Source organism: Homo sapiens, chromosome 11 (genome assembly GCF_000001405.40).
Source record: "Homo sapiens chromosome 11, GRCh38.p14 Primary Assembly".
NCBI classification, from domain to species: domain Eukaryota; kingdom Metazoa; phylum Chordata; class Mammalia; order Primates; family Hominidae; genus Homo; species Homo sapiens.
This window is the reverse complement of record NC_000011.10, coordinates 94,081,871-94,094,117: the sequence shown is the minus strand read 5'-3', so window position 1 is coordinate 94,094,117 and position 12,247 is coordinate 94,081,871. Positions and strand designations below refer to the sequence as shown.

Genomic DNA, 12,247 nt, shown 5'->3' with positions numbered 1-12,247 from the left:
AATGTAAATGATGAGTTAATGGGTGCAGCACACCAACATGGCACATGTATACATATGTAACAAACCTGCAGGTGGTGCACATGTACCCTAGAACTTAAAGTTTTATATATATATATATATATATATATATATATATATATATATATCTGCTGGAGGATTTAAAAGAAAATTTCCTGGCTCAGTATAGGGGTTGGAAAGAAGCTTTAGGGTATCATACACCAGTTAGACTGCCCTGATGTCATGGATTCCTATTTGTGTATTATCTGGTAGTCCTATTATGACTAGTTTTTGTATGAGTTGAGCACTCAGCACACTCCCTGATAATGGTAGAGCAGGAAGATATTACACTTGGAGGAATGCAGTCAAGCTACTCTGTTTCTTCTATCCTTTCTTAGCCACAAGTGTAACAGAACACATGAGTATGTGTGCATGCACATGCTTGGGGCTGACAGTGCACGCCTGAAATCTGTGCCATACCCAGGAGTTCTAAGTGCTCCTCTCGTGGTGGTCGGGCTTTGATCTCCACAAATTCTCCATCCGTATATTCCCTGTAAACCACCTTCTTGTACTGAGAGCCAATCCAATTTTCAGTGCGGTTCATAAATATATCTCCATGTCTGCAAATCAGAAGCATCAGAAATTAAAGTTGTCAGAAAGCAGAAAAGCTTTGAGCGCTTCTAAGTGATTCAGGGGTATTCTGGAGAAGTGCTCCCCAAACCTGGCTGTGATCAAGTGCTCCCTGGGGAGCAGGCCTTTTGCACCATACTTTCTGGGAGTGAGGCCAGGCATCTGCACTTTAAAGCTCCTTCAGTTCTGATATGGGCAGCCCAGCACCAGTCCATGGCCCACCCTTGGAAATCACGGTTGTAATCTTCTGCTAAGCACTGAGTAGGGCCAACCTCAGAGACTCCTAAGTATCCTTTGAGGTTGCGCCTCTCTTCTGGGACCATCTAACCTTACACACTTGCATCTTCATGTGTGTGTCATCACACACACACACACACACACACACACACATACACGTCCACCCTCTACCACCCTGAGTTTCTCCAGATTTCATATGCATCTTTCTGTACATGGTAATGCTTTTCCACTTTGAAGGATCTCAAGAAGGACCATAGTCATGTATTGTGTATACATCCATATACAAATATAGATAGATACAGTTGATACTTGTTATTCACCCTAGTTATGTTCTAGAAAGTCATTGTGATAACTGGACTAATAAAGACTGAACCATTGTTCCTAGGGAAAATATAGGGTTAGGTTCCTGCAAACCTCTGGTCACAATATTTTCATCAACAGATCAATATATAACCTTGTTTTATGTCTGTTTCTTTTTAAACACACTTTATTTAATATATATTGCTGAGCTCAACAGCATTAACACTGTTGAGCTCATTAACACTGAGCTCAACAGCCAACAGCACTGTAACTCATGCAGGAACAAAGCCCCTCTCACATGTATAAGGCACATCAGAGGCTTCTTACACTGAGGACACTGCTTCAAAACTCTGTTTAAGGGGGCATTTTAAACAGTGAAAGCACCAACATAAAGCACACAAGTGCAAAAACGATGGCACTAAATAATCTGAAAACAAGGACATTTGTTTACAGTATGAGAGCTGAAACAAGAAGGCAGAGAGACTCCTTGTTTGACCTCAGCTGAAAATGTGTGCATCAAGCAACGTAAATTTTTTGCCACTCTACATGTACCTGCAAATGACCACAAAAATGTCACAGGAATTGATTTTGGGGTTAAAAATAAATTTTAGCAAGTAGGCAAATTTGCAAAAGCAGAATCTACAAATAACGAGGATAGACTGTATACGTACCTTACATGTATAGTACATTTCATCTATTACCAAGGCAGATCATCACAAAAGACAGATTTTTAAAATCTTTTAATTTTATCTCTAAAATACAGTGAGACCCACCCCTTCCATTGAGGGAGCTTTCATTCTTATCTCAGCCACTTGTAATACTTACCTAGGTTGGGTGGAATTGTTCCTAATCATTTTCCCTGCCACCTGTACTCCTCTTTGCCCTCTATTCACACACTGCAGGCAGAGGGATCCTAAGCTATACATTTAACAACGTTGATGTTAAGCCTTTTTATGATTTCCCACTGCCAAACTCCTCAATTTGGCTCTCAAGCCTCACTGTCTGCTTTTGCCACCTCCTGAGCCTCATTTCCCATCACTAGCCCCTAGGCTCTATGTTCTGGTCATTCTAAACATTCACTCTCTTGAACATGATGTGCTCTCCCTCACCTCCAGGCCTTTACACAGGTTGTTCCCTCTGCCACGAACATGCTTCCTTCCTCTTCAAGTGGACTACTCTTCATGTCCCAACTCAAAGACTACTTCCTCCCAGAAGCCCCCGCCGACTACCAACCTTCTCCCTACCTTTCCTCAAGACAGGGCTGTGTGCTTCTGCCATATCTCCTGTTGCACTCTACCCTTCCCCTCTCATAGAACATACTTGTTCTAAAGTCTTACCATGGACCAGGAATTCTGTGTGGGAAAGGACCTTGTCTATCCTCCATACTGTTTCACCAGCACATTGCACAATGTCTAGCATATAGTAGGTATTTAATAAATGCATGTATACTTCCACCCTAGACTGTATGATTTCCAAGGGAAGAGAACTTTTCTTCTACTTTCATTTTTCAGGAGACCCAGTTACATGTGGTAGTGACCAGTGCAGAACCTGTAGCCACATTCCACCGTTTCCCAGCTTTCTCCACTGCAAACCAGGCTGATAATAATTCCTCTACCTCATGGAATTGATATGAGGGTCATGTGAGTCAGTATCTGTAAAGCACATGTCAGGCCCATGTTCAGCACTATATAAGCACTTGCTTTTTCATCATCTTGTGAGAATGGTGCAAGAGATGCTGAGCAAAAACTGGTGGAGTAGGTCAGGTGTGTTGTAAGGGTTATGTCAGATAAGGTTTGTAAAATCCCTAGCAGAATGCCTGGTCCACAGTAGCTGCTCAATAGGCAGTGGTTTATTGTGGAGAATCTCAGGATGACTAAATCACACACCTATCAGTCTACAAGCTCAGGAGTACTAGGAATACAACTTTATTTTTTCATAGCAACTTAATTTCTGTTTTCAAATTTCCTCCCACTGCATAAACTTCCCCTGGACATTGTACCGATGGTCCCATTTGTTGGCTTTCTGGGATGCTGAGACCTTCCCAGCATGTTTTAGGAAGCCCCAAAGAAAGACTTCTAGGTCCCAAGGTGGGGCAGAGGGCCTGTGCTGACCAGGATAATAAATGTCTCAGGGATAGCCTGTACCCACAAATGGTTCAAAAACCAGATGGGCTCCTACCATGGCCATGGGACAAAGGGCAGACACATAGAAACTAGGGTGCAGAAGGGGTATGTGTCACTGGGCTCTTATCTACAGACATGCCTCAGATGTGCCCTAAGAGAACTGCCATTTCAATTCCATACTGAATTGTTATCTACAGCATTTGTTAAACTTTGAACATGTGAACTTGTCCTTATCTCACTTTGCTTTCATCTATGTATGGGCAAGAATCAGAGTGACAGGGGAAGGTGTAATTATGGCATTGCACCCCCTTCCCCACCAGCACATTTTATCTCCTTATGTCACTTGGGAGGGAGTCTCAGAAGACTGAAGCTAGACCTTCCTGCTAGCCCCGTGGGATGGAGACTTAAAGTAGGAGTTCATATTAGTTGTATGAACATCATAAAGGCTATATTTTTATACATTCATGGGCTAAGATTGTACACATGACAAAGTTATTATACAATTATTTCTTTAGTTATGGTAGCCTTTTAATGAAATAATCATTTTAGAAAGGGCCAGATTGGAATTCATTTCATTTTCCACTGTACCAGCACCAGTCTTCAGCTTGTATTGGCAGCACTAGTTTTGCAGAATACAGGTGTTTGGCCTAACAAATAGGTTAGTGAGTAATTGAATGGATTTAAAATTCTCCTGTTCTTAAGGGAAATCTTAAAAAAAAAAGTATCCAGAAGGTAGAACCATTATAATCTCTTTTCCATAAGTACAGCCCCTCAAAACAAAGGCCAATAAATAAGAAAAGAAATACTTGTGTTAAGATAGGAACAGTAGCATGTCGTGTTTGTCTCGCAGCCACGGAGGATGTCTATGAGGTGAGGGGAGGGGAGTATGGTGGCAGGGGGCGAGGGTAGGTGGCAATAAAGAACAAAGAGGAACTGGGCCAGGAGGGACAATGTAGTGTGCCGGAGAGAACGTGGATTTATTTGTCTTTCAAAAGATCTATGTTCAGTTCTAACTCTGCCAATGTCTAGTTGGGCGCCTTAACTCTTTGCGTCCAAGTTTCCTCATCTGCATATCAGAACAGTAATACCAGGCAGTGGGTTGCTGTGGAGGGAGGGGATTAGCCCTGGGGGAGGAGGTCTGTGGTCTGCGCCTGCCTTCTCCCTTGTTTAACTCCATCCCAGTGCACCCTAGGGATCTTGGTTCCTGGACTCTGGGCTTAGCGCCCTGGAGGAGCAATGCTTACAAGGCTGCTGGCGGCCTGAGAGCTGCTGAGTCTTGGGCATGCATCACTGGCCAACAGCACTGTTAAGGGAGGGCCAGTCTTGCAGACTTTCTGGGCACAGGGCCTAGTAGAGAAACCTGTTCTTCCTACCCCGATCCCGGAGTCTCTTACAAGGCAATGGCCTCCTGTCCCTCCTTGGTGGTCCCCCACTTAGAGCAGCGCTCTGCCAGTGGCTCAGCCTCAACCTTTCCTGAGGTCCTGCATCCACAGCAGCCCATCCTCTCACCCCACATCATACACCCTCTCTGCCTTCTCTGGCCCTTTTTGTCTTCCCAGCCCCACTATAACCATGTGATCTGCCTCTTTCCCTCAGCCTTTTCACCCTGCACACGCACTCCCAGGCACGCCCTGCATCCCATGACCACCCAGCAGAGCCCGCCGAGGGCCTGCGAGACACCGCACGCTGCCTTCCGGAGGCCGAGGTGGGCAGCTTCCCTAATCTGTGCACATAAGTAAAAGTCTCTGTCGGCCGGAACTGTGGAGACACAACCTGGGAATTTGCAGGGAGCCACACTTACTAAAGACCTACGGAGCATGCGCGATCCCACCGAGGAGCCCTAGCGGCGGCGCCTGTGGTACCTTTCCCCTCTTGCGTCCACGTGCTGCTTTTCGAACTCCCAGTTTTTGTTAGGGGCATAATCCCATTCTACTTCTTCAGCGGCGATGTAAAAAGTTCTTATCATCCCGTACCGCTGCTCAGAAGGGTCCCTGTTGTCACAGCTGCTGACCTCATAGATCTGACCCATGCCTCTCGAGAGGTGGGGCATGGTGGCACAAAACACCCTAAAAATACCTGCAAGAGAAATGGCTCGGCATTGAGTGTGGTGCTCGGTATTTTTGTTGGTGATGGTCTGTTTTTAGCAAACCTGCATATTTTATTACAAAATAACCAGTTAGGTGGATTTTTAAAATACCAGTTGTCTAGTAGTTTAAAATCAGACCCCAGGGGGTATAGATTACTTTGAATATATTTACTTCTGTGGAGAGAAAGATACTGTCCAAAATTCATTTGTTATAAAAAAAGAAACTTACAATATTGCTACCAAGAAATGACTTTTCTGGGTCTCCCATATAATTCACACCTATTAGAAGACAGTCTGTCCTGGAAAATCACCAATGACTGTCTTAGTCCAGCCCAGTTTAAAAAGAACTAATTACCTGTAAGATGATTATCCTAGACAAGGTTCAAATTAAGCCATATTTCTGATGAGTATTTTGCCCTAAAGGATTTCATAAATTCTAAAGTGCAATAAATATGTAAGTGTTATTATTATTAAAGCCAAATGTATTACTTCATTAAGCCCTTGAGCAAAGAAGTTTCTCATTTCCAATGATAGGTCTACATTATGCTAAATGAAAAGGAAACAGAAAACAGAAAAACAATCAATTAGATTTTTCTACATAATACTGACAATCCTGTCTGTCAAAAATTATGTAATTTTTAGATTGAATTTTCTAGATGCATTGGCATCAGATAGATATTTCTTAACTCACCATAAAATCACATAAGACAGATAAAATTATTGAAGATATTAACTCTCAATGAAAATATTGGATCAATAAATCTTTCTCCCCTTTCTCTAGTAGCCTCTGTTTTTAGAGGTGAGGGATGAGTGTACCTTTCATTAACCTTCTACAATGTACAGAGGTATCCTCTATCTTGCTATACATGTAACTCTGTTGTCTAAACATCGCCTAGTTACTCCTTTTAGATGAGCAAAAATTCAATGGGTTGATTCAATGGGTACCAAGCACACCCAGGCACTGATGAGGACACATGAGGAAGGGTCTTTATATGAAACCACAGAGAAGATACCTTTGAAGACAGACTTGGAAAGACTGTCCCCTACATTTGTTTTTTCCAGGAAGCCTATTTTTTATGTATTGATCATGGCACTTCAATAGTTGAGGAATTGTCTCCTCTAAGAACAAAGAGGATCTTAGACAAGGTAGCATGAAGAAGAAAACAAAACTAATAATAATGATAATAATAATAGAAGAACATGGAAATGTTTGAGTTGCAGCATATAGTCTACTCTACCCACTCTTGAGCACCCTCCTTCTTGACTTATAGGTAAGGGACAGGAATTGGTGAAATGACTAAGCTTTTAAGCAGTCACAGATTTATGCTTATCACCAAACATAAACTGGAAAACACTGTTGTGAAGCTCTTTAGAAATGTATAGGACACATGGAGTAATGATCAAAGCACTAGAATAAGTAGCTCCATTTCTAAAATTATTCTGGGCAGCTCTAACTTTGAGTGCCTATTTCTATGAATTAAAATGATTTGGCTATTTCCCAATCCCCTCCTCTCTTTGGTCTTGAAGAGCGTATTAAAAAAAAAAGTTGTGTCCAAGGCATCTCTTGATTTGAGTAATTCATAATTGATCAACTATACTAATGTACAGAGACTGGACACTAGGAAAAGTTCACATAGAAAAGACTATGGAGCTCCTAGTCTCAGGCAGTCCTTAGGCAAAGATTTTGAAGCCCAAGCCTCAAGTTCTTAATTGATGACACAGAGACATCTAAACTGCAGTTCCAGTGGAAAGCAAAGAAGTAGAACATCCATTAGTAAACAGCAAGTACTCATCTTAGGTAGCATATTGGTTTCTTGTTAAGACTGATGAAAAAATTGGTTTGGAAAAACATGTTCAATGTCTATAGGGCTTGTTCTCCTCACTTTTCATGCAGTGATTAGCATGTGCTACCACGTGTTGCTCTAGATCTTTTATGAAAACGCCCCAATTATCTCATTAGCTTGGAATCTCTAAGAGAAGAAGTTCCAGGTACTGGCATTATACAGGGGTCTCCATAAATTCCAGATCCAATGCAGCTTGCCCTGTTGGGAAACCAAGGGTGCCCAACAGAATGAAAACAGAGAATTCCCCCAATCAAAAGGCTGTTATCAGTACCTACAGAAGAGAGACCAGGCTGCAGTTATGGCTACATCTGTAATCTGGAAGCATCCACTGGGATGTCCATGCCTGGTAGATGCTTCAGAGAAGCAACTGAAATTATGTTCATGCTCAATGAGAGCAAAACATATCCACTTTATCAGGGCTGAATTTTTATGGACTGTGAATCAAAAACATTCTCCTAGGATTTATGCACCAAAGACTTTAGAAGGCTCCCACTTCTGTTTTGTGGATGCTATTTTAGATATTTCCCCTTTGTCCCTTATACTATGTGTTTGGACTAATAAGTCAGGATTCTCTGATTCTAATCAAGACTATATCTATTTCTACACCACTTGAAGTGCACAAAGTCTACCAATTTCTTCTGTGGGAGAACTCTAAGAGGATGAGCCTGAAGGTAGAAATCTGGTCACCTGAGATGGACCCAGCAAGTTTACCTGCATGGTCTGGCTGCATGAATGCTGTTGTGGCCATGTGGGGAAACAGGGCCAGGGAGTCTCGGTGAGTCCCTCGTAGGTGGATGGTGTTCCCTTGAAAAACAATTCCATGCATGTCAGTGTCAGTGCCCAATCCAATCAGATGCCAGGAAACTCTATCCCTTTTACACATGTTTAAGCCTGGCTGGTTGCCATACATGTAGCCGTTAACAGCTAAATGGAAGAAGAAAGACGGTGAAAAATTATCAGTGTGTATGGGGCAGGGGAGCTTCAAATATGTAAACTGTTTACAAAAGATCCTTGTTTTCAGAGAATAAACAGTACCAGGGAAAAGCCACATGGTGAATCCACTTAAAATGGAGACCAAAATTAACAATGAATAATGAAAATATAAGGAAATTATTTAAATGTTATCTTTAACAACACATATGCAAGGACACTAATTCTAAGAATGACTAAGGGATAAATCAGATTGTTTATGAAATAATTTCCCCATACTCTTCTCTAAGGCTCTCGATATGAAAATCTTTTTCTTTTGTGGTTATTTTCCTATGATCTCCCTTGTTAAATGTCTCTTCCTCAGTTATTAATTCATTGAATTCTACAAGACCCTCATTTGCCAGTGGGCTTTGCATTTGATTCTAGAAGTTATCAGACATGCTTTTACTGATTACATGGATTCAGCATTATTTGAAAGATTTTTAAATCAATTGACAGTATATGTGCATATGCAGTTAGTGGAGAAGGATTGTTTTTTAGGGGGTACTTAAGCTTATATGAGGTTAGTCTTTGAGTAAATAAATTTGCTTTATGATAACTCGTACTTCCTTACCCCAGTACAATTACTGGAGGGACTTTATTAATAAATAATGATTAGTTAGATATGAAGACCCTCTGTGCTTCCAGAGTGGCAAATTGTTTTTATCTTTGACATCAACCCCAATCCATTGATAGTGGCTATCTGAAAAAGTGCCTTGACAAGAATTTAGAAACCGCATTCTCACCCCATGGGGATGAAAGCCATGATATAACGCAATGTCTGACTGGTAAATGCACATAATTGTGTCTCATGCTTGATGTTTCTTGGAGAAATAAATATTTCTACCCCCCTCCTGCTCTCTACTAAGCCTATAGCAGGAAGGAACTATTATCATGCACATGAGTGACCTTCTGTTATAATCCCATTGTCAAATAAAATTACTTTTTGTTAGGTTGGTGCAAAAGTGATTGCAGTTTTTGCCATTGAAAGTAATTGCAAAAACCGCAATTACTTTTGTACTATCCTAATATTTCTGTGTCTGCAAAACCAGTGGTGCTTGGTAATTGTACTCAGATCTGGGATTATTGGTAGAAATTCCAAGAAATTCTGGCACTTCTGAGAAGGACACCACATTTTATGAAAAAAAAATCTTTGATAATGTCTTTGCAAATAAATGATCTAAATCTTGTCCATCAAATGTTAATGAAATCTGAGTATAAATCAAGGTGCTAATAAATTCAGTCCTTGGCTGGCTGGTAGAGAATCTTCTCTTGCCTTGGAATGCTTGTTTAAAGCCTCTCTTTCTACAACAGTCACTCATCCATTCTTTCTTTCAATAAACATATTTTGAATACAGACTATATAATAAACACAACACAAAGCATTGTGCACCATGTCAGGCCCTTTCTTTTTGGCTTTGTTGCTGTCTTCCTTCCACTCCCTGCAAGCAAGACTGAAGCTAGAACTTAGTTTATAATTAATGTGACATTTGAATTAAGATGCATTATTTGCCTTGAACTTTGTTTTAACAATGATATATCCTGTATTTATATATTTATTTATTTATTTATTTATTTATTTATTTATTTATTTAAACAGAGAGAGGGTCTTACCCTGTTGCCCAGGCTGGAGTGCAGTGGAGCCATTATGCTTACTTCAGCCTCAACCTCCCGGGCTGAAGAGATCCTCCTACCTCCTACCTCAGCCTCCTGAGTAGCAGCTGGGACTACAGGTGCACACCACCATACCTGGCTAATTTTGTATTTTCTGTAGAGATGGGGTCTCACTAAGTTGCCCAGGCTGGTCTTGAACTCCTGGATGCAAGTGATCCTCCCACCTTGACCTCCCAAAGTGCTGGGATTACAGGCATGAGCCACAGTGCCTGGACTATATATTGTATTTCTAAATATGAAAGTAGTTTCACATTGCCAAAATAGGGTGGGGCTGGATTTGATGTAGTTCATTCAGTTGTTTATTATCTTTTTAAATGAAGACCAACCTCTTTGATGATAAATTTCTTTTACAATTTAGTTTCTCCACCAAGAAACTGCTATATTTCCTTATTTCCACCTTAATTTCCCCTTTATATTGTCTACTAAGAAGTTTGGAAACAATATTCATATTCAGTTACAGCAAAACCTTTTGTAGAAGATGACACTGAAATGTACTACTCCATGCTTTCCATTGGCACAAGAGGGGACTCTGTTGGAAATGAGCATCTGGGACCATAGGGTCTGTGACCTGGTTGCCATGGGGCACTTGTAACCTTGGACTATTTTTTACTTCCATGCAAGGAAGGGAGGTTAAGGGCTATTTTGTTATTCTTCCATAATGCTTTAAAAGGCAATAAATAGATTTTATGCTGGGTCCTAAAACAAGCAGGTTAGCACCTGTTGTCTTACGTTACTTGCTTCGGGCACTTTTATTGACTGCACACTCTTGCAGGCATTGAGTTTGGACTCTCATTACTCTGCTACCTTAGGTAATATGCCTAAGAGTAATGACATCCTGTGTTACTCACAAGCAATTAGCAGGTGGTTTGCTATTGTAACACTTGATACAAAGAGACAGGGAGAGAGAATTAAGTAATTCCTCTCAAATGAAGATCTGGGATAGGAACAGCTAGTGTTTCACAAATTAACATTCACCAGTCACTCATACTACTTAATTAAATCATTCATACTACTTAATTATAGACACTTTGCTATGTAATGATTATCTCCTATTGTCACTTTGGTTTTCAGACTTAATGTTATTGTGAACCCAAGGGAGAGTAGTTTGTCAGTAATTTTCTACATTTATGATATACTGTGAACTTGGCTAGTTTAAATTTTTTTTTTTTTTTTTAGACGGAGTCTCACTCTGTCGCCCAGGCTGTGCAGTGGCACGAACTTGGCTCACTGCAACCTCCACCTCCGGGTTCAAGCAATTCTCCTGCCTCAGCCTCCTGAGTAGCTGGGAATATAGGCACGCACCACCATGCCCAGCTAAGTTTTGTATTTTTAGTAGAGACGGGGTTTCACCATATTGGCCAGGCTGGTCTCCTGACCTCGTGATCTGCCCACCTCAGCCTCCCAAAGTGCTGGGATTACAGGTGTTAGCCACTGTGCCTGGCCGCTAGTTTAAAATTTGTGTTCCTTCATCTAAGGCTGATAAAGTGCTCTAGAAGTATTAAATTTCACATCTCTGAGAGATAGGGAGGTTTCACCATACCATCTAAAGCTGAAGGCATGAAATAACTTACTCATGACCAAGAACAATATCCAAGAAACCAAAATTAATATAATTCAAACACACCAATCATTTTCACTTCTAATGCAAGTCAGCCTTTCATTTACAGGCGGGAATGTCATTTGTCATACCATGCATTCGGTTGGATTTCACAAACTCTTTATCTTCTTTGTCAATGCTGAAGGGATGCCAGATAAACTTCTGAATGTTTTCATCAAAATATCTGCTCAGATTCTCATCAAAGACTGTGAACAGTAGGTAAAACTCCTTGTCTATTCCTTTCTACAGAGAAGAAAGAAATGAATACATAAAAGGTACAGCTTGGAGGAATTCACAGAATTGCTTTCCTTCAAAGTTCACACAAAATATTAATAAGTCAGGGCAGATCAACATCAGCCCAAGAGTTCGCAGGTCATTTTTAAATAAAGATACTGAATGTTGCTCTGATGAATTTATTCCCCACTCAGAAAATTTGTCTTTCTTGTTACATCCGTCCTCCAAGGAAATCAGCCCCTGCTTAGAAGGCTTTCTACTCTTTTGGCCTCTGTTGCCAGGCTGGTCCTCAAGGACTTTTTCTCCTTACCCTGACCTGCCAGCCCTGGCCCAGCTTCTCTCTCTGACTTCATTTCCCTGTACTCACCTCCTAGCTTGCTCCAGACACCCTGGCCTTTTGCCCTTCCACGAACACACCAACCTCATTCCTGCCTCAGGGTCTTTCCATGTGTTGTGGAACATGAATTGAAGAACTCCCTTCCTCAATTCACTTTTCTGCATGTCATTTCCTCAGAGTGGTCTTCCCTAACCATCCTTCTAAACTTATCTCCATCTT

General features: G+C 41.1%; 1 protein-coding gene across 1 annotated transcript in view, besides 2 other annotated features; it reads right to left on the bottom strand.

Moving 5' to 3' along the window:
- The window catches only part of HEPHL1 (hephaestin like 1), a 92,855-nt gene that overhangs the window by 20,091 nt on the left and 60,517 nt on the right, over nt 1-12,247 (bottom strand). The window contains exons 10-13 of the mRNA NM_001098672.2: nt 11,550-11,700; nt 7,929-8,141; nt 5,150-5,363; nt 478-617 (exon numbers count right to left, since the gene is read on the bottom strand). Of these exons, the coding sequence (NP_001092142.1) occupies nt 478-617; nt 5,150-5,363; nt 7,929-8,141; nt 11,550-11,700 (718 nt within the window). The remainder of the gene's footprint in view (nt 1-477; nt 618-5,149; nt 5,364-7,928; nt 8,142-11,549; nt 11,701-12,247) is intronic.
- Nucleotides 4,319-4,875: an enhancer, noted in NCBI's record as "H3K4me1 hESC enhancer chr11:93822409-93822965 (GRCh37/hg19 assembly coordinates)". NCBI's record gives its function as "activates a minimal SCP1, AML or CMV promoter by ChIP-STARR-seq in naive H9 embryonic stem cells {active_cell/tissue: H9 hESC(naive)}" and the evidence as "EXISTENCE:reporter gene assay evidence [ECO:0000049][PMID:30033119]".
- Nucleotides 4,876-5,434: an enhancer, noted in NCBI's record as "H3K4me1 hESC enhancer chr11:93821850-93822408 (GRCh37/hg19 assembly coordinates)". NCBI's record gives its function as "activates a minimal SCP1, AML or CMV promoter by ChIP-STARR-seq in naive H9 embryonic stem cells {active_cell/tissue: H9 hESC(naive)}" and the evidence as "EXISTENCE:reporter gene assay evidence [ECO:0000049][PMID:30033119]".